The sequence below is a fragment of the Homo sapiens genome, chromosome 12 (genome assembly GCF_000001405.40).
Source record: "Homo sapiens chromosome 12, GRCh38.p14 Primary Assembly".
Lineage (NCBI taxonomy): Eukaryota > Metazoa > Chordata > Mammalia > Primates > Hominidae > Homo > Homo sapiens.
In genome coordinates, this window is record NC_000012.12 from 93,123,424 (window position 1) to 93,145,227 (window position 21,804).

The 21,804-nt window shown below is 41.3% G+C and overlaps 1 long non-coding RNA gene and 1 pseudogene across 1 annotated transcript in view, besides 2 other annotated features; both read right to left on the reverse strand.

Annotated features, from left to right (window-relative positions):
- LOC643339 (uncharacterized) overlaps positions 1 to 21,804 on the reverse strand; it is a 373,979-nt gene that overhangs the window by 119,666 nt on the left and 232,509 nt on the right. The window lies entirely within an intron of this gene.
- Positions 636 to 1,134, reverse strand: NACAP8 (NACA pseudogene 8; annotated as a pseudogene).
- Positions 11,968 to 12,037: an enhancer, noted in NCBI's record as "active region_6763". NCBI's record gives its function as "activates an Ori minimal core promoter by ATAC-STARR-seq in GM12878 lymphoblastoid cells {active_cell/tissue: GM12878}" and the evidence as "EXISTENCE:reporter gene assay evidence [ECO:0000049][PMID:35858748]".
- Positions 18,510 to 18,670: a silencer, noted in NCBI's record as "fragment chr12:93535709-93535869 (GRCh37/hg19 assembly coordinates)". NCBI's record gives its function as "represses an EF-1alpha promoter that drives an FKBP-Casp9 reporter gene in an ReSE screen in K562 erythroleukemia cells {active_cell/tissue: K562}" and the evidence as "EXISTENCE:reporter gene assay evidence [ECO:0000049][PMID:32094911]".

Consider the following 21,804-nt stretch of genomic DNA (forward strand, 5'->3'; position numbering starts at 1 on the left):
GTTCATGCCTGCAATCCAGGCACTTTGGGAGGCCGAGGCGGGCGGCCTTATTTGAGGTCAGGAGTTTGAGACCAGCCTGGCCAACATGGTGAAACCCCACCTCTATTAAAAATACAAAAATTAGGGCTGGGTGCAGTGGCTCATGCCTGTAATCCCAGCACTTTGGGAGGCCGAGGCGGGCGGATCACTTGAGGTCAGGAATTCGAGACCAGCCAGGCTAACATGGTGAAACCCTGTCTCCACCAAAAATACAAAAAAATTAGCCAGGCATGGTGGTACACACCTGTAATCCCAGCTACTCGGGAGGCTGAGGCAGAATTGCTTGAAGCTGGGAGGTGGAGGTTGCAGTGAGCCAAGATCACACCACTGCACTCCAGCCTGGGCAACAGAGCAAGACTCCATCTCAAAAAAAAATAAATAAAAAAAAAAGTAGAATGGTTTATTACACATAAGAGGCAAAGGCAAAATGACACATGGTATACAGACTGAACCAAAATATCAAAAATAACAATGCACTCTTTTCTTTTTTTCATCCAACAAGAAGCCATAACTTTATTTATGATAGAAGCAGTACAAATTTCAAACCAAGCTGCAGTCACTCATTTGAGACACCAATAAAAGTTGCTTTCAGATGGTTACACTGTTAATTCCATAATAGCATTTACAATATTATTACTTTGTTCTTCCAGGCTCCAACTGCCTTTGCTCTGGACACATTCCCTTGTGACATGACCAATTCTATGTCCTTAACTTCTACACCTGTTTCATCAACCTCATCCTCTTCACTCTCCTTTTGTACAGTTGGAGTCTGTGTGTTTTCTTGAACATTTAAGACAGCTTCACCCTGAACTTTGAATTTCGCAGCAGTTGCTACTTGTGCTTGCTGAGATAAATCTTCAATCTTGGCTTCTGCCAAAACGATATAGGTATCCGAAGCAGGGCTCTTGTAGACATCTGGTTTCGCGATGACAAAGAGGATATTCTTAGATTTCCAGATAGTGACTCTAGTAACCCCTATAACCTGTCAAAGACCCAGTTTGGACATAGCCTTCTGTGCCTTCTTTTCACTCCAACTCTGTTGTGCTTTACTGACTGGTTCTTCATCAATTTCAGCTGCTGCCACCACAATGCACCCTTTATTATGGCTATACCAGTTAGGAAGAGCAATTGGATGCAAATCACAGAGATACCTCAAGCAGCTAAAGAAAATCAATGGTTACTATCACACATAAGAAAGTCTGAAGGTATGCAGTCCTCTGTCTTTTGTATCTGCCATCCTTAACCTCATGACCCAAGAAGGAGGCTGGAGCCCTAGGCATCACATCCATATCCCAGAAAAGAAAATGGGAAAAAGGACAAAAGGGGTAGGCCAGGCAAGGTGGCTCATGCCTGTAATCCCAGCACTTTGGGAGGCCAATGTGGGTGGATCATTTGAGGCCAGGAGTTTGAGACCAGCCTGGCCAACAATGGCAAAACCCTGTCTCTACTAAAAATACAAAAATTAGCCAGGTGTGGTGGTGCACACCTGTAATCCCTGCTACTCAGGAGGTCAAGGCAGGAGAATTGCTTGAACCCAGGAGGCGGAGCTTGCAGTGAGCCAAGATGGCACCAGTGCACTCCAGTCTGGGTGACACAATGAGACTCTATCTCAACAACAACGACAACAACAATAAAATGTTCATTATTGACTGAAATTCTAATTTAACTAAGTGTTCCTTATTTGATCTGGCAACCCTGACCACCCAACATCTCCTGGGATTTCATTAGTCACCCCTACTGTGAAGGAAGATGGAAAATGTAGCCTTTTAGCCAGGCACTTTCCCACGCTGCTTATTCTACCAAGGAAGACATGGAGAGTGAATACTGGGTAAGGAGCCAACAGTCTTTGCAGGAGTGAGGGTGGTTCTGGGAAAAAGTGACAGAGCTACATCCATGCCCCATGCCCTCTGTGAAGAATTTCTTGACTGCATCAGCCTCTTGTGGTCACTGTGACCTCTGAAAGCCTATGGCCCTTTTTGTCTTAGTTCTATTAATAGATACAAAGTAAAGATTACTGATTTTTAATTAACATGTAAGAACTGATGTATTCAGGTGGCTACTGTCTTCTTCAAAGGGTTAAACACACAATATTGCCACTCTTAAAAACACTTTTAGAACTTAGAGCTGGTAGAAGCAGAAGTCTCCCTTTACAAGGCATACGGGAAGCTGCAGGCTGTAGGCAGGGCCAGGGATGCGTTGGAAATTTGCTAACTCTGAGTGCTTCAACAAATTGCATTCTATGTCAAACTCATGCCATTCCTCGTAGAAAGACCAATTTCAAATGTCCTCACTCATATGGGGAAGCCAAAAATTATAACAACTGAACTCATGGAGATAGAGAGTAGAATGATGGTTACCAGAGGCTGGGAAGCGTAGCAGGGAGCAAGGGGAAAAATGGGAATGGTTAATGAGTGCAAAAATATAGTTAAATAAGATCTAGTATTTGACAGCACAACAGGGCAACAACAGTCAGCAATAATTTACTGTATATTTTAAAATTGCTAGACTGTATATGTGGCTCACGCTTGTAATCCCAGCACTTCGGAAGGCCGAGGTAGGAGGATCACTTGAGCCCAGGAGTTCGAGACCAGTTTGGGCACCATAGGGAGACCTCTTCTCTTGGAAAGACTCAAAAATTAGCCAGGCATGGTGGTGCATCAGCCTCTTGTGGTCACTGTGGCCTCTGAAAGCCTATGACCCTTTTTGTCTTAGTTCTATTAATAGAACTGCATGGGAGGCTGAGGCCAGAGAATCACTTGAGCCCAGGAAGTCAAGGCTGCGGTGAGCAGTGATCTTGCCACTGCCCTCCAGCCTGGGCAACAGAGCGAGACCCTGCCTCTCAAAAACAAACAAAAATGAAACTAAAAGAGTAGAACTGGAATGTTCCTAACAAAAAGACATAATAAGTGCTTGAGGTGATGGACACCCCAATTAGCATGATGTGATCATTATACACCACATGCCTATATCAGAACATCACATGTACCCCTGCCATGAATACATACATGTATTATGTACCCATAATAATCAAAAATTAAAAATAAAAACTTACACTATTTCTCCCCAGAACCTTCTCCTACCTTTGTAGGAATATAGGATTATCTTCCAGGATGTCAATAGCTCTGGCCAGTGGGGACCAGACTGATGAGAAGCAGCTGGTTTAGGAAACTGATGTTGGAAAGCTCATGGCCTCTCATAACTCAGTCATCTGTGGCCTGATCAATGTCACTAAAGCATGGTTTGTACTCTGTGGTATGTCCTAGAATAAAGGTAGGGAACAATGGAGGAAAACAGGCCTGAATTAAAATGTTCTCCATGTCTCTCTCGAAAAATTCCAACTTGGAAGTCCCTTTTGCCTGATAGTGACTGCTTACAGTTCCTACCCAATGTAAACTACAGTTCCATGTTTTTCCCCCTGGCTCTTAACTGGCTGAACTTGGGATGTTTTATAAGTGTCTGTCTGTACTTCCTATGACAGCCAATCACATCCAACCTATCCTCAGGTCCCTTCCCCAAATTAACTCTGTGGTCCACTGACTTCCAAAAGTAGGGTCAAAATTATTTTTCTAAGATTAAGCCTTAATAACGTCACTTATATGTTTCATCTTTTCCTGGATGGCTACTGGGCAAAAATATCTTCATGCAGGTGCTGATAACAGTAAACACATCATATATCTTCAGCCTGGGGTTTAAACACATTCATTTCTGGGTTTGTCATATGTTCTCTCGCTATTTATACTGCTTTGGGTCAGCTACTTGATACTTAATAAAATTTGCCTCCAAGCTGTCCTGCAGGGAAAATGACCTATCTGGGGGGAATGCTGTTCCAACTCTATAACCTCTGATGATTGCCCAATAGTCCTCCAAAAAGGTTGCAGGGCAGGAGCAAGGGAAGGTCCATGCCACTTCCTGGCATTTAATGGCAACAAGTGCTTTAGTGTAAGTATAATTATATCCCCTGCTTTCAGGAGGCCTTTCCAGCCAACCTCTCGGACACGGGAGCAACTGTAGATGGCATGAGCAATGTGGAAATTCGGCTTCTGCTCAAGGTCAGAACAAGCCGTTCACCAGCGTTGATTTTACCAACCTTTCGGTTATTTTGGAAAGCCGAAAGAGAACGCAACAGAGGCAAGAATGGATCTATGGGATGGAAATAAGGAGCCATTTATAACCCAAAATGAGACTGCCAGGAAAAACAAACACACAGAAAAGTACATTTTATCAGAGGCTTGGGCTGCCCAGGGCTATTGGGGTACAAAGTACTGCGTGTTCAGCTCCCTGGGCCAAGAGCTACAGTAAGTCAGGCCCCCCTGCAAAGCTCCTCTCCTGTCAGCCCCATCAAGCAGCCTTAGCCACCTGGCGGAGACAAGCTTTAGTGTTTTTAAAGTGTGTGCTGCGTGAATGTTTCACATTTTTGGTAAAGATGTGGGGTCATGTTGCAACACTTAAGTGCTTCTGCGTAAACCTTGCGCAATTCCGACAGGCACTGGGTTCCTAGCATCAGTGGCATCCTCTGCTCACATACGGCTTATGTAATGTGTGATCAGGCCCCCCAGGTTTCTCCTTGTAGCCTTTGAAAAAAATTTCAGGCTCTGAACTTGGCCCTGGTTTCCGGCAGTTCTTTGCTCCGAAGGTGCGTGGAATGGCTCAGCTGTCAGCACCTGCTGGTGAGATACAGAAAAGTGCCACGGGTTGATCTTTCTCTGGCACCAGTACACAGGAGGCTGGCGATGCTCCCCAGATGGGCTTGGCCCGCCCTGAGGCACCCTATAGGGAAGGAGAGTGAGGGCGGTTCATCTAAGGAAGAGTAGGTCGGAGGATTGAACGGGGGCTGCTACCAATAGGTAACAAACATGAAAAGGATTTCCCCAAAGCAAAACTTTCTAGCCAGAGCAGCAGCACAGTGAATGGTTTACTCACAGCTCCTTTGTCTGCTGATGGGAGATTTGGCACTGTGCTTGCCTCTTGGGCTTACCTGAGCAAAGTTACACAGTAGGTCAAGTGTTTGATGCCTTCTCACCTCCAGTCACTGTGCTGGCGCCCGCCTCCGTGCCTGGCTTCTGTTTCCATCCAGACTTCCATCCATTCAACAAAGCTTTCGAGCACCTGCTCTATGCCAGGTGCTGTGCCAAGTGCTGGGCACCAGGCAGGGCTTTCTCAACACCTGGTGGCCCCCTGTGGTGCGCTGGACCAGTCCTAACACAGGCCTCCTCTCCAGTGTCACTCTCGGCCCCACCATTTCCCAAAATTATCCCTCCCTGCATTCACTTCCTATGACTCTTGTCCTTTCTTCAACCTTAGGGATGGGACTATTTCTTTACAGTTTTTATCATAGAAATCCAACAAATTTTATTTTTATAAAAGAATTGTTCTTGGTAGTCACAGATTTCTCTCTGTGGAATCTGAGTTTCTGCAGATTAAAAAGTGATGATGTGAGCTGGGCGCTGCAGGTGGTGCCTGTAATCCCAGCTACTTGGGAGGCTGAAGCAGGAGGATCACTTGAGCCCAGGAGTTCGAGACCAGCCTGGGTAACAGAGAGACCCCCCCATCTCTAAAACATTAATTAATTAATGCTAATTAATTATTTCAAAAATGGTGGCATGAAGAAACAATGTCTTCCATGGAATGAACAAGGCATTAATTGAAAAATGTGAAGCAGGAAGGAACAGGGGAGGAATACATTGTCTGAGCAGAATCTACAATTTCACCAGGTAGACAAGTTGCCCCTTTCACCTCTCCATTTATTATTGGTGAGCTGTATGTGTAATGGTTAAGGAGGCAAATTCTGGAGCTGGACTACCTGGGGATTCAAATCCCAGCTCTGAAGGTTATAATCTAAGAAAGCTATTGTTATTTGTTCCTTAATTTCTTCATGCAAAAAGAGGGATGGTAGAAATACCTAAGCACATCTCACAGAGTGGCTTAGGGATTAACATAAATTAATATGTATGACATTTTTATAACACCGGGATGCACAGTAAGCACTCTCTATATAAATATTAACTTTGATTTTTCGTGAAGGCAACTCTAGGCTTTCTACTTTGCAGTCAGATTCTCATGGCAGTTACTGCATGCGAAAGACAGAATTTGTTATTTGGCCTGCAGTTTCCACATCTGCAAAGTAGGAAGAAATGATTGAATAAAGATGTGGGGGCGGAGGCTGCGTTCTGGTCTGTGATCTCCACTTGCTTCGTGACCTTGGACAACTCACTTACTCTCTCTGCATCCTGGAGATTGGACTTGATCTGAATTTCCCAAACTCAGGTCATTCAAATAACACTTAGAGAATCTTTGCCATATTCCAGTCCACTTTCCTATACTCAGCTACTAACTTGATGTTTTCCTTTAGATAATCCTTAAATCAATTCACTTTCATATGTAGCCTCACAGGAAGCAGTAATATCCACGTATGCAAGAGTCCGATATGCTACAGATTTTTGTTTTTCCTTTATTTATTTATTTATTGTGATAGCGTCTTGCTATGTTGTCCAGGCTGGCCTTGAATCCCTGCCTGGGCTCAAGCAATTCTCCCGAGTAGTTGGGACTACAGTTGTGTGCCACCACAGAGGGCATGATACACTGTCGATTTTTCTAATGCATGTTAAAATAAATGCCTAATGAAAGTTTTAAATGTTTGTATAATGCCCAAATCATCTTGCATCCTATCAATGAGATGAGGACAACATTTCTGGAAACTCTGGATCAAATGTTCCCTCTGGATCCAGGCAACTGTAAAATCTATAATGTTATACCATGTTCAGGTGGCTATTTAACTTAGGGTATGTTTCTTTATACCATTTGCCTCCTTGAGAGCTCAGACTGTGGCTTAAACCTCTTTGGGCACGTAGCAAATAGAAGAGTGCTTGATAAATCTGTATTTAATGTTAAATTAAAAGCACACCATACATACATACAAATATATCCATCGCCTACTCACCCCCAGACCCCATCCACTGCCAAAATGCTCATTTCTTTCTCTCCACCTCAGTGTCACTGTGTTCCTCAAGTGGCTGTCTGTAAATGAACTGAAGCATGTGGCGTTCCAGGCCTTGTGTGGGCACTCAGGAAATGTTACCTTCCCTGACCCCTTTCCCTCTTCCTGTGCCTCTTTGTTCATGAGTTGCCATTTGTCTGTGTGAAAAGTGGGCCGACTTCCCAAGGAGTTTATAGCCCAAGCTCTTGGGTCAGAATAATTGTTGTCTTCAATTTCAGCCCTAAAAGAGGTTCCATTGCCAGGTGCAGAAACTTCTAATCTAAGAAAAAAAGAAAGTATACTTCTAAAAGCTATTATTAAAGAGATCTTGAAAAACTGTCTGGTGATTTCCTAAAATTCATCAGCAAAAATTGAATACACACCCACAGTATCATGACCCCATTGTGGGTTCACGGTCTGAGAATTTCACAACCAACCAGCATTTACTAAGCATCTGCTTGAGCCCTCTCTGTCCATAACCTTGGGAGACACAAATCTGAATAAGGCTATCTATTAGACCATGAGACTAGAAGAGACTAAAAGACTGAATACCTTGAAAGCAAGGAATATGTCTTCATCTTTGCCTCCCCAAGGGCTTAGCAAAGCATCATGCATGTGGTAGTTATGCATTAAATATTTGATCCGTAAATGAACAAATGGATGAATGACACTGCTCCAGCACTGAAGGAGCTTACAGTCTGTTTGAGAAGAAAGAAGCCATAGATAAACGATGGGTTAATTAACAATAAACTCCACATTACAAGAGATAACACTGGCTAATAAAAACGTTAAATGAAAGGGGTGCTGTCATTTACTTTCCCCCAAAACACCAAATGTTGATTCAGCCGCAGGTCTCAAAAAAGAATGTGTGTTGGCCACTCTTCTGTACTTTCATTTTTCTGCACATGAGTCCAACTTTAGAAGGAAGTTGCTAGGTTGTTGTCATGTGACTGATTTTTATTTAATTAATTAATTTATTTATTTATTTTTGGGACGGAGTCTTGCTCTGTCACCCAGGATGGAGCGCAATGGCACAATCTTGGCTCACTGCAACCTATGCCTCCTGAGTTCAAGCAACTCTCCTGCCTCAGCCTCCTCAGTAGCTGGGATTACAAGCATTGCCACCATGCCCAGCTAATTTTTGTAGTTTCAGTAGAGACAGGGTTTCACCATGTTGACCAGGCTGGTCTCGAACTCCTGACCTCGTGATCCACCCGCCTGGGCCTCCCAAAGTGCTGGGATTACAGGTGTGAGCCACCGCACCCGGTCCATGTCAGTGATTTCTAAAGGCCACCAACCTTGCTGGCTCCTGGGAATGAGCAGGGTATTATTTAATGTAAATAAATCAGCGAGTGTTTATCCTTCCATGCATTCTTCTGCCATCCACAGGCAAAGAGAGAAGTGGCACTGGTGACTTTTTTAGAGCTATGAAGTTGGAATATACAAGAGAAGCTGAAAGCTTTCAATTAATGATTTCTTAGGCTTTAAGTCAGGGTGACCCTTCAACATAAAAGGGCTTTAGCCACCACTTGCTGGGGAGAAGCGCTGGGCTTTCTACACAGTTCTCTGGGACTCCAAATTGTTAGCATAAAAATAGCAGCCCAAATCAATGTTCTCTATTATTCATTAGTTACCGAAATACTTTTCCCAAATATACGCATAGCTGAAAGATGCCTTCTTTCAAAATGTTTTAAACCACTTTCAGCCCATGAATCTTAGTCCATCTTTAAAGGGCACCCATTTTTTTTCAAACCATATATTTCAGTCGATTTCATTGGGCACTGATACCATCACCAGCAAAACCCTAATTAATTGGGAAGAATGACATTTCCATTAAAATTCTTTTTGAAAAATGATTTATGCACCTGGCTGATAAAAATTTCAAACAGGGCAAAACAATATGGAGTGGAAAGTAAACTTCCATCGACCTCTGGAACCCAGTCTCCCAATCTTTTTCATAGAAACATCCAGTGTTAAATTTCTGGGGTATCCTCCTAGAAATACTCTGTGTATATATAAGTGCATACACACAAAAGAGGTCTTTAAAAAGTTTATGGAAAATGCATATTATGAAAAAACTATGCATGGATTTTCATTTTTCTTGCACCAAAATAAACTCATACTAACCTGTTATAACATGTCTGAACAGAATCTAGTTGAGGCAGTAAGAAGGATAAGACTTCAGTTTGAAAAGCGCCTCTGTCAGAGCAACATGAATTCTGCTAAAATTGAAGCAAGAACAAACTTCAAATCTAGGGTGAAGTTTGCATGGAAGAACAGTGAAATCATTGAAACTGTACAAAAAGTGTGTGGGGACACTGCCCCAAAGAAATCAACAGTTTACACATGGCTAATTCCTTTTAAGAAGAGATGAGACGATGTTTAAGATGAAGCCCACAGCAGCAGACCATTCGCATACATTTTGGAGGAAAAAGTTAGTATTGTTGGCTCATGCGTATAATCCCAACACTTTGGGAGGCCAAGGTGCGAGGATCACTTGAGCCCAGGAGTTTGAAACCAACCTGGGCAACATAGTGAGACCCCCATCTCTACAAAAAATTTAAAAATTAGCCGAGTGTGGTGGCACAGGCCCGTAGTCCCAGTTACTTGGGAGGCTGAGGTGGGAGGATCACCTGAGCCTCAGAGGTCAGCCTGCAGAGAACCACTATTGTGCTACTGCTCTCCAACCTGGGCAACAGAACAAGACCCTGTCTCAAAATAATAATAATAATAATATTGTTTGTGCCCCAATTAAAGAGGACTGACAGTTAGGAACATAAACCTAATTATAAACATAATAAGCATAAGTCTAATTATAGCCAACACCATAGACATCTCAATTGGTTCAGCTTACACAATTCTGAATGACAAATTAAAGTTGAACAAACTTTTCACTGGATAGGTAACAAAACCACTGCACTCAGATCAGCTGCAGACAAGAGCAGAGCTTTCAATGGAATTTTTAAAGAAGTGGGATCGAGATCCTGAAGCATTTCATTTAAGGATTGTAATAGGAGATGAAACACGGCATTACCAGTATGATCCTGAAGATGAAGCCCAATCAGAGCAATGGCTACCAGGAGGTGGAAAGGGTTCAGTCAAAGAAAAAGCAGACTGGTCAAGAGCAAAGGTCATGGTAACAATTTTTGAAGATTCTCAAAGCATTTTGCTGTTGACTTTCTGGAAGGCCAAAGAATGATAACATCTGCTTCTTATGAGGGTGTTTTGAGAAAGCCAAAACTTTAGCAGAAAAAATCCAAGGAAAGCTTCACCGGAGAGTCCTTCTCCACCGTGACAATACTCCTGTTCATTCGTCTCATCAAACGAGGACGATTTTGTGAGTTTCAGTGGGAAATCCTTAGACATCCAACGTACAATCCTGATTTGACTCCTTCTGACTTTTTGTTTTCTAATCTTAAGAAATATTTAAAGAATACCCATTTTTCTTCAGTTAATAAGGTAAAAAAGATTACATTGATATGGTTAAATTCCCAGGACCCTCAGTTCTTTAGGGATGCACTAAATGGCCATCACTGCTTACAAAAGTGTCTTGAACTTGATGGAGCTTATGTTGAGAAATAATTTTATATTTTTATTTTTATCTTTTAATTTTTTCCATAAACTTTTTGAAGTCCCCTAATGCAGCAGTCACCAACGTTTTTGTCACCAGGGACCAGTTTCGTGGAACACCATTTTTCCACGGACCAGCATGGGTGGAGGGCAGTTTTGGGATGAAACTGTTCCACCTCAGATCATCAGGCATTAATTAGATTCTCATAAGGAGTGCACAACCTGGACCCCTCACATGGGCAGTTCCCAACAGGGTTCACACTCCCATAAGAATCTAATGCCCGCTAATCTGACAGGAGGCAGAGCTCATTCGCTTACCTATTACCTTCTGCTGTACGGCCTGGTTCTTAATAGGCCATGGACCAGTACCAGTCTGCTGCCTGGGGATTGGGGCCCCCTGCCCTAGTGTGTGTGTGTGTGTGTGTGTGTGCGCGTGTGTGTGTGTGTGTGTGTGTGTGTGTATTGTGTGTGTGTATTCCCCTCCCCTTCCTTACATATACTCTAACATTCTTCAGTGAAACTTAACAGATATTGTGAAGTTTGCTGCAAATCTGTACAGCTGCACTATATTTCATAATATGAGTGTCCCATAATTTACCCAGCCTCTTCTGAATAGACATAATGGTGGTTTTCAGTTTTTTACTTCCACAAACATACTTTTGCACATATGTATGACTAGGACTACAGAATCAATTCCTTAAAGTGGAATTACAGAATCAGAGGATATGTGAGTTTTCATTCTGATAGACATTGCCAAATGGTGACACTTAACTTTTGATGAGAACTGCCAAAAGTAAAGTATTTGTTCGTGCCAGAAACAGAGTGAAGATAGCATTTTATTTTAAAGTTTAATACCTCAGGCAAGCAAGTAGCACATTTATTCATGAAACTCATTTGCCCCTGTCTTGCCCACCTAAAGCACATACACATTGTTATGAACCCATTCAAAATATACTTGTGACAACAGCTTACTCAATGAGGAACTTGCTAGAAATTTCGTATCACCAAATTGTGTGAGTATTTGTCGCAATGGGGTTAGCTTGCACGCTCTCTACTTTGCCCTGGCTGTGTTTACTACCTTTCATGGCCCTGGTCAGTTAGTAACACTGTCTTGTTTTTCTTTTGTAACCAAAGGTCAGTTTGTGACCCTGCTCCACTCCCCACCTCCTCTGCCTTAGTTTCTTCTTGCCTTAGTTTCCTCATAAGAGTAACCAGTCTTAAAGTGTCAGGGCAGGCACATTACTGATGTATCAGTGAAGAGCCCCTGGGCACAATGGAACTTGAATTTGATTTTCTATTACCTGTGAGGGTGAGTTAGTAAGCAGACAGCCTTGTACTCTGTTCAGCGGCTTCCCTTGCTGCCTTTCTATAATGAAAAAAGCAGAGACCCAGAACATTCTCCCGTTTCTCTAGTGTTTACCCAACACACACTCTGTGCTACCATCCCCATTTGTGGCTTCTTTCCTATTTGCTCTTGTAACATGAGAAACAGTGTGGAGGTTTTATGCTTGTTTTGTAACCAGCTATAACCATTTCCTTTTCTCTGCCTCTGATTATAAACACATTTCCTTCCTGGTAACCATTGAAAATCTATATCTGACCAGGTTGAAACCAAATGAAGTCATTTTGGTTCCATTGGTGACAACCAATTAAATATAATTCTGTTTACATTTAGAATGGGTTGTAAATTTAAGAAAATGATTTAAGCCCTACTTAAAATATTTTTTGGCTCATAAAACCATGAAATCATTTCTGTAATATGAGTAATCAAGAAGCTTCATATTTACATTTACCTTTAAATTGCTCTAAAAGAGCCAGAGACTGGACATTAAAAACAAACAAACAAAAGATTCAGAGTCTGCAAGGAAGCTATTTCACTATCCCCATGCTGCGAGCTGGTTAAGCTCTTTAGCTCAGATAGCCCTATTTTCTCAGGGAGCAATGGAAAAAACAGATCTCCTACTTAAAAATAACAGTAAAAACAAGAAACACACTGCACTATATTGGTAAACCTCAAACTCACGTAAGTCAGTTACCTGCCCCGATGGGAGTTTAGAAGTTGGTGCTACTACTCTTAGTACTGCCATAAGATGTCACCAGAAAACAGGACCCTGAGTTCTAGGAAAAGGGATAAGAATGGACAACAGGTGGGAGCCACCAAACTATTCCAGGCCGGATGACAGAAACCTTAAAAGAAAAGTTCCAAATACAATTAACTGACCAAACCCCTCCACACAGTGGAGAGGCTTCATAATCAATAAAGACAACTTCCCACCTCTGAGCACTTACAACAAAGATGCAGATGTATCTTTGGCAGTGGACTTTTTTTTATTGAGTTCTATCTCCTTTTCTTCACAAGCATGTATTAAGCAAGTTTTATGTGTTATACTTTCACTGGGTGTTGTGCAAAGACTAAAAAGTCATCAGCTCTGCCCCATAGTGGGTGGTTGTTAAATGTTGTTAAATGAATGGATCTGTGAATATATGCATGTGTGAATGAATGAATAAATAAAGCTTATAATATGGTTATGGGAGAAAACACAGCTTTAATTTTCTGTTACTTGTCAGGGTGGTGTGTACAGAACACAGTGGTATGCGTGACCAGTTCTACCCAGGGTAGTGTGGCAAGATCTCAGACTTGAGGTGACAATTGAATGGGCGTTGGTCAGATGAAAGGAGTTTAACGTAGACAAGTAAAAGACCACAGAATGAGCAAAAGCCTAAAGCAGAGATCAACAAACTACAGCCTGTGGACCAAATCCCATCTGCTGCCTGTTTTTGTAAATAAAGTTTTATTTGGGCAGAGCCATGCTCATGCATTTATATTTTTTCCATGGCTGCTTTCACACTACAATAGCAGCATTGAGTAGTTGCAACAGAGACCACATGACCCAGGAAACCAAAAATATTAACTATCTGGCCGTTTACAAGTAAATGTCTGCCGCCCTCTGGCCTAGAGATATGAAAGAGCTGAATATTCAGGAACCTGTAGGGAAGTCGTAATAGCTGAAACTTGTAGTCCAAAAAGGGGCTCAGTGAGAGAAGAGACAAAACGGTGATCAGAGGCCAACCCTGAAGGTTCTTCTGTGCCATATTAAGAAATTCAGTTTTGCCATCGCATGTTCTCACTCATAGGTGGGAAATGAACAATGAGAACACTTCGACACAGGAAGGGGGACATCACACACCGGGGCCTGTTCTGGGGTGGGGGAAGTGGGGAGGGATAGCATTAGGAGATATACCTAATGTAAATGACGAGTTAATGGGTGCAGCACACCAACATGGCACATATATGCATATGTAACAAACCTGCATGTTGTGCACGTGTACCCTAGAACTTAAAGTATAATAATACAGAAAAAAAAGAAATTCAGTTTTGCTCCTTTAGGAAATGGGTAACAAGAGCAATTTTGCTTTTAGAAATATCTCTCAGGGATCAGGATAGACGAGAGAGATGCAAGTTTGCAGCAGGAGATCAGCTCTCCAAACTTCACATCTTATAAATTCCTTGATTCAACAAACATTGAAAAGCTTAATGCTGTCATTATGCCTCTTGCTCTATCCTTGGGAAACAGAACCTGGCACACAGACATGCCCAATCAATATTTATTGAATAAAGGAATTAAGGAAAGAAAAAAGACAATATTGTAATGGCATCATTATTAAATGGTTTTCTGAATAGGCTGCCTCTGCTATGAGACAAATAGCTGAGATTCTCACAGATTTCCAGTTTCCATACTAGCAGGCATTGAGATCCAGGCAAAAGGAGGTTAATAGTGAAACACAAGCCAGAGAGAAATTCCTCCCCTTCATCTCTGGTGCCAACATCATCAAATACCAGTCACTGGCCAAACCTGTGTTTATTCCATGCCCTGTGGCCTAATGAGAGGGGATGGGACAAGAAGCAGCTCTGCTAATAACTGTCATGAAAATAATAATATCACTTGGCTGTATGCGGCAACTTTCATTGGAAGCTCTTGAATCAATTTTTTCCTCTTGCATAACTATTATTTCCATTTTATTTCCACTAAAGGAGAAGCCAAACCACAGAGTGGTTGTGACTTGCCCAAGGTCATGGAGCAAATCAGAAGAGCAGTTTTTAAAAGCTGAGAAGGATATCAGGGGATGTAAAATCCAGTTGCCTTCCCAGCCTAGAATGGGCTGGGTTCATGACTCAGTAAGACACATGGCGTTACCTAAGCTCAGTGTCTCTGAAAATGAGTCACACTAAGGGAGACTCAGGGCCTGAGGGGCTGTGTCAGACATACGTTTTCAGTAGTCACTCATTGTCCCTGCCCATCAGATTTTAACGTCTGTCACCGAAGCCCATCACAGACAGGGCCTCTTGGGAGGTTTAGCCTATGGAACTGGGAAGGTCTGCCTTGGGGGTGTCTGTCTTTTCTGGATGTTTACCCAGCTGTCAGTTCCTATGAAGCCCAGGTCTCCCCATTCCATTATCCATCAGGAGCCCATGGCTGGGGTAGCTGTGGCTTCCACTCGGTCCATGATGATTCTGGTGTTTGCCTGTTGTCCCAGCATAATTACTAATAAATCTTTTTTTTACTCTAAAAAAATGCCCCAGTTTGGACCATAAATTAATTATATGGTCACTCTAACTGACAAATCAGGAAGCACCTATGCAGAAACCAAAAGCCCTCTTTTCATCATGATGATTCTATCTCAGCCACTTTTGTTTCATGGACCTAGAATCTTGAACTTACAATAGGCCCAAACTCCCAGTCAGTTAAGGAATCTCCTCTGAGCTATGTAAATGCTCCTGGTCATAGAGTTAGCTACACAGCCCATAGACCAGTTAATTACTAATTGTGAATAATCACTTCCTTACCTTGTACCAAAATCTGCCTTCCATATCTTTTATACAATGATCTTAGCACTATTCTCAAGAAGCTGAAAAGTCAATTCTCCCTCCTGTCCCATAAGAGAGCCCCCTTAAGTCCTCCGTTGTACAGCCCAAACACCACCAACCATCAGGAACAAATTCTAAACAGCATTTAGGAATGTAGCTTTGGAGTCAGACATACCTGGATTCGGATCTGGGCTCCATCACTCCCTAGCTAGATAGCCTTTGGTAAATACTTAACTTCTCCAATTTCACTTTCTTTGTCTGTAAATTTTGAACAAACATTAACTACTTAAGCTAGGCATGACTGGTTATGGAACCAATAGCTAGTTCTCCTTTCTTTCTTACTAACAAGGGGCTCACTTAAATGCTCTTGGATTACCCAACTTCCTTGCAGCTAGATGTGGTCATGCAACACAGTTCTGGACAAGGAGCTGCAAGTGGAGGTACCAGCTGGAGTTTCTGAGAAAGCCTGTTAGAGGGCACACATCCAGCTTGCATTCACCTTGTCAGTTTGTGCTACTTAGCTTCTCCCTTCTTTCAAATACTTCCTGCCTAAAAATTAGTTGTGAAGCACAAAATAGAACAGCTATGCTGCATACATGAGGAAGCAAGCCTCCAGCAAAAGAGACTGGGTTCTTGATGGCACCATGGGGCCTGCATACTCACTCTGAAGTGCTTACAGCTGGACTTCCTATTACATGAGAAAAATAAATCCCTCCATTGGTTAAACCATTGAAATTGGGTTTCTGCCACTTGCAGTCAAATGAATCCTAAATGACACATACTTCAGAAGGTTGTTTTGAACATAAAATGAACTTACTACAGTGCCCAGCACAAAACATATAGTGAATGGTTTGCTATTATCACTATCATAATTATTATCATTGCTACTCATTGCCATAGACCTTAGAGAGAGGGGCAAGAACATGTAGCTATAGCAATCCTTCCAACCTCTGATAGCACCAGTACAAAAATATCTGTGATCTCTTAAGCACACACAAAAAAGTCAGTTGCTGATGTTTTGACAAGTGCATCTCTGTTAGTGGCTAATGAAGCCAGTTCTTCAAAGCACCAGATCCCGAGAGCACAAAGAAATGAAATTCCACCTGGCTGGCAGGTCAGGGAGCAAGTTCTTTCCTGTAGTGAAGGGTGCGCCTGGTTTCCTCTCTGGACAGGGGATCCATCCATATTGTATAGTGCATTTCCTGGAAGTGCTGTCTTCTCTGAACGACAAGCAAAGCACAACACCTTAAGGATGTCATTATTTCATGGAAAGAGAGTTTCTGCTCAGAAACCAAAGCCACACCTAAAACCAGCTGAGCATAGGAGCACATGTTCAAATGGAGCACTGGGAAGTGGAATTAGCTTTCTATAACCTCACTGAAGCATCTGCCAAGATCAGACAAGGATGGGACTAGCTATACATTCTTCCCTGGAGTCCATCAAGCCACAGATTTGGGTTCACGGGGGCCTATCATGGTATTCATCCCACCTCCACCTACTCCCTACTGCACTCTGCAGATATAAAGAGTGGTGAAGTGGGAAAAAAAAAAAAAAAAACAACAAGACAAAACAAAACATCATAAATTTCAGAGTTCAACAGACCTAGGGTTCAAATTCCAGTGGGTCACTTCTAAACTGGGTACCTTTGGACAGACCATTTGCCCTTTCTGAGCTGCAGTTTTTGTATCTGTAAAACAGATAAGAGTTTCACAAGTTTGCAGAGGATTGAAGGAGAAAGTCTGTGTGGCAGTACCTGGTACAGGGTTATCATGAGTCCTTCTTTCCCTATCAGCAGGATGGTCTTGGCTGACTTTTTGTATTCATCACCCAAGCCCAAGGAGTGGACCCAGCTCAGGTCACTGCCACCAAGGGCAGCTCGTTTGTTGCCTTCTACCCCGTGCATCATCATCCAAGTTTTTGGGCCACACTTGGGGAGCCAAAGCCTTCTCCAAAGCTGAGGTCATAAAGCAGAAAAAGACAAAGCTCTGCTTTCAGAGAGCAGGTTTGGTTGGCAGTGAGCAAACCACCTCTCTATAGCCAATCTGCCCTTGGGTATGGGAGTGAGTCCCCAGTAAATCCAGCAAAAAGTGGCTGGCCCGCTCAGCCCTCCCACCTACCACAGCCACGCGCAACACCTGGACAAAGATCTAAGGCCTGGGAAGCAGCTTTGCCCAGCCTCTCCATCTCCGGGCACAGCCCCCTTGGGGCACAGCCTCAGGCAGGATGGAATATGACAGTCACAAGATTCACACCTCAAGCCACAAAACATATTCTTCTCCCAACGTCACCTGGCAGGTGTCATCGTAGTTGGTTTTATAGCTACAGTGGCAAACACAGTGTTTTCTTCACCTCTGTGTCACAGGAATGGCCACTGTTACTCTCCTCACTTTTAACCACTGGAGTATCTAGGGACATTTGTCAACAGGGTTTGTGGATATTGAGACTGACCGGATATTCATACATACATTTCTCTGTAACTCCATAAGCTGGCAACATAAGACCATGCAGAAACCAGAAATTTGGGGTCCATACATAATGGCTCCACACAAAATGTGTTTTGTCACAGAGTATAAGAATAGATAAACTAGTAATAGCAAACAATGTGCTAACTGTACTGCAGGCTCTGTGCTGAGCATGTCACTTTCTACAATTATTATTATCTCCATTTTACAAAAAAAAAAATCCCTTGAGTCTTCTTGGTGTGTTCTAGATATTAATTCTTTATAGGTTTAGATATTATAAATCTTTTCTCACTCTGTCACCTTTTTGTTAACTTTGCTTGTTGTATCTACCCTTTACAGAATTTTTAATTTTTAAAATATAGTCAACTCTATCAAATTTTCAACTTATGGCCAGGCATGGTGGCTCATGCCTGTAATCCCAACAATTTGGGAAGCCGAGGTGGGCAGATCATTTAAGGTTAGGAGTTTGAGACTAGTCTGGCCAACAAGGTGAAACCCTGTCTCTACTAAAAATTCAAAATTACCTGGCCATTGTGGCACAAGTCTGTAATCCCAGCTACTGGGGAGGCTGAGGCAAGAGAATGGCTTGAACCCAGAAGGCAAAGGCTGCAGTGAGATGAGATGGCATCACTGCACTCCAGCCTGGTCAACAGAGTGAGACTCCATCTCAAAAGATAATAATAACAATAATTTCAACTTATGGTTTGTGTAATGAGTACCTTCTTTAACACCTCTGATATTTTAGCTTTGTAATTTTACTTTTGCACTGAATTCCTCTTTGGCATATGCTTGAGATAGTGAACGAATGAGCTGTTTCTCCACTACCAAGTAGTAGGTTTTAGGCAATCCATCCCTTCCCCACTGATTGATGGTGCCATGTTTATCCCAAAGCAGGTTCCTATGTAGACTCAGGTCTGGCTCTCACTCTTTGCTCTTTCCCTAGATGTATTTTACTATGTTCTTGTTCCATACTGATTTTATATGGAAGGGTGAGTTCCTTCTCTTTGCTCTTCTTTTTCAAAATGACTTAGGCATCATGAACATTTATTCCTTCATATGAATTTTAGAGTAAGTATGTTGAAGTCCTAAAAAAAAGACTTGTAATAATTTTGTCTGAAATTACATTGAATGTATAGGTTAATTGTGAGGGAAATTAACATATTTATATTTCGAAGATGTGGTGTATATTTCTATGTATTCAGATCTCTTCAAAGCAACAACTGAGTTTTAAATTTTTCTTGGTAAGTTCTTTGATAGGTTATTTCCTACATACTTTAGAGTTTGGGAATCATATCTTATTTTTTAAAAAATATTTTTGAGATGGTTTTGATAAAGAATAATAATTCTTAGGCCAGGCACAGTGGCTGATGCCTGTAATCCCAGCACTTTGGAAGACTGAGGTTGGAGGATCACTTGAGGCCAGGAGTTTGAGGCCAGCCTGGGTAACATAGTAAGACCCTGTTTCTACAAAAAAAATTAAAAATTATCCAGGCATGGTAGTGGGTACCTGTAGTCCCAGCTATCCAGGAGGCTGAAGTGGGAGGATTGCTTTAGCCCAAAAGTTCAAGGTTGCAGTGTGCTGTGATCTCACCACTTCATTCCAGCCTAGGCAACTCTGTCTCAAAAAAAAAAAAAAAGCAAAACAAACAAACAGAAAAACAATAACAATTGTTTAAAAGTGATCAGGTATTCATCATCTCTGCTGAAGTCTCTTATTCTATTTAGTCTATTGATTAAATATGCTGATACAACCTTTTATTTCTTTTTTCTCTCCTTTTCCTTTTTTCTTATCTTCCTGTCTTGCCCAGAAACTGGGTAAGCGTTATATATATATATAAGAAGCACAAAAATACGCTTACTTCAAAAAATATATAAATGTGCTTACTCAAAAAAATATATATATATGCTAACTCCAAAAGCTAATAACTTATCGAACTTCTACTTGAACTTTATTCCCAAAGAGATGAACATATTGAAATAACATGATTAACCCACAAAGCTGATAAAGTGTCCATTGACTTAAATGTTCCTCCTTAGTTATGTGCCAAGCATTGTGCCTCTGTGTAACAGCAGCACAGAAATGGCAATATACAAAACAATTAACAGTTAACTGTTGCTAAACAGTAACAATGAAAGCAGGTTGTGTCTAAATTTTCTTTTAAATCCCATTGTGTGACCCTTTACAACTTTCAAATAACTTCCATACCCATTACACCATTTGTGTTTCATAAACACATATTAGTAGGGAGAACAGGTATTGGCTCATTTTATAATTAACATTCAATATGGTTGGGTTTTGGAGGATCAAAAACTAGAAAGGATCAAAATTCATATTCAGGTCTTTAAAGCTTCAAGTTCTCTCACTATAACAAGCTGATTTATATATAAACAAAATATATAAAACTACGTGATTCAATTCAGTAACACTGAATTTTCATTTAAATCTCATTCCATCCTGAAAAAGATGATCTGATATCATCCTATCATTTTTAAAGAAAACTGTATCAGCTGATATTAAACGTCTAAACATTTTCAAGGTGTAAGAGCCAGATGACCATATCAATTAGGGTTGTAATTCTACTAAGAATTTGGGTCTATACCATGGCAAAACAGTCAGTTAATTTGGTCAGTTTAGGTAAACAGGTCAGTTTTGTGGGAGGGAGGGAAATTGGGTAAGAAATATTCATCACATTAATTTTACTAACATTGCAATACAACTAAAAATGTTATTTGGTTGGGCATATTTAAACATTTAAAAGCTGCTGTAAAGATAATATTGTTACCTCATTTTTATAAGAAGAAAAAACTAAGTAAATCCATTTCTTGGGTGTGCAAAAATAGCCCAAGGGGAAGTGACAGACCTGTGAACAGAACTCATGAATTAAACCTGAGCTTGGTCTACCAGTTCTCTGTAATCAAGCCCCATGATTCACTCATGGAAATCAATGCCTCTTAAACTCACTGAATGACAGACACCTCAACAGACACACATCTGTGGATTCCCATAGCTCCTTTAAAAGTAACCATCAGGAAGCAATTAGGGAGTGCATCTGTCTCTAACAGTCAAGGTATTTTTCCTTCCATTTCTTGCATCTTCTCTTAGGGAATGTGTAACGGATCGTCCTCTCTTAATGGTGCTGTTACTTGGAATATACAAAGTATGCTGACTTGTGAAAGGGTCCCAGGCTTAAACAGCAGGAAAACACAAATAAAGCTGTATTCAAAGAAGATGAATCAAAGTATCTCAGAAGAGGAAACCAGAAAATTGTAATCTTTCTTAAATGCAGCTTTGTGAGCTGAGTAATAAAATACAATAATGTAACTAAGCAGGAGGCTTACATAACTGAAAAAATGAGGGGCAAGGAACTGTTCCAAATCCATTGTACTTATTAGAACCTCTGATTTCCTTTGAAATGGCACATGCAATAAAATTTACTGTGAGCTAGCTAACAAAAAAATCTCATTTTTATGGGAAATAAGTATTGTCAGAAAAACGAATAGATTCTATTTTAAATCCTGAAGATTATAAAATTGAGGTTTTAATAGATGAAGAAAAAAAAAGGCTCCAGAACAGAGGCATCATGGAGGCAGTGATTTCTATTTAATCTTTTATCTGTAAGAGAAAAAAAAATCACCTCAATTGAAACTAATATAGTTTTCTGTGGCAGAATATACCACGATAGCTAATAATGCACTGGCTGTCTGTATTAAGTGAATTTTCTTTTTGTTAAAAAAAATCAGTGCTTGTTAAGCACATGAACTGTGCAAGTTTATATCTGGCCAACTCCTGTCCCCGCACCTGTTCATTCAGGCATTAGCCCTAAGGACTTACAAAGCAAATGAATGTATCCGTAGAGCAATGGGTAAAAATAAACTGAACTATTCTTTTAACA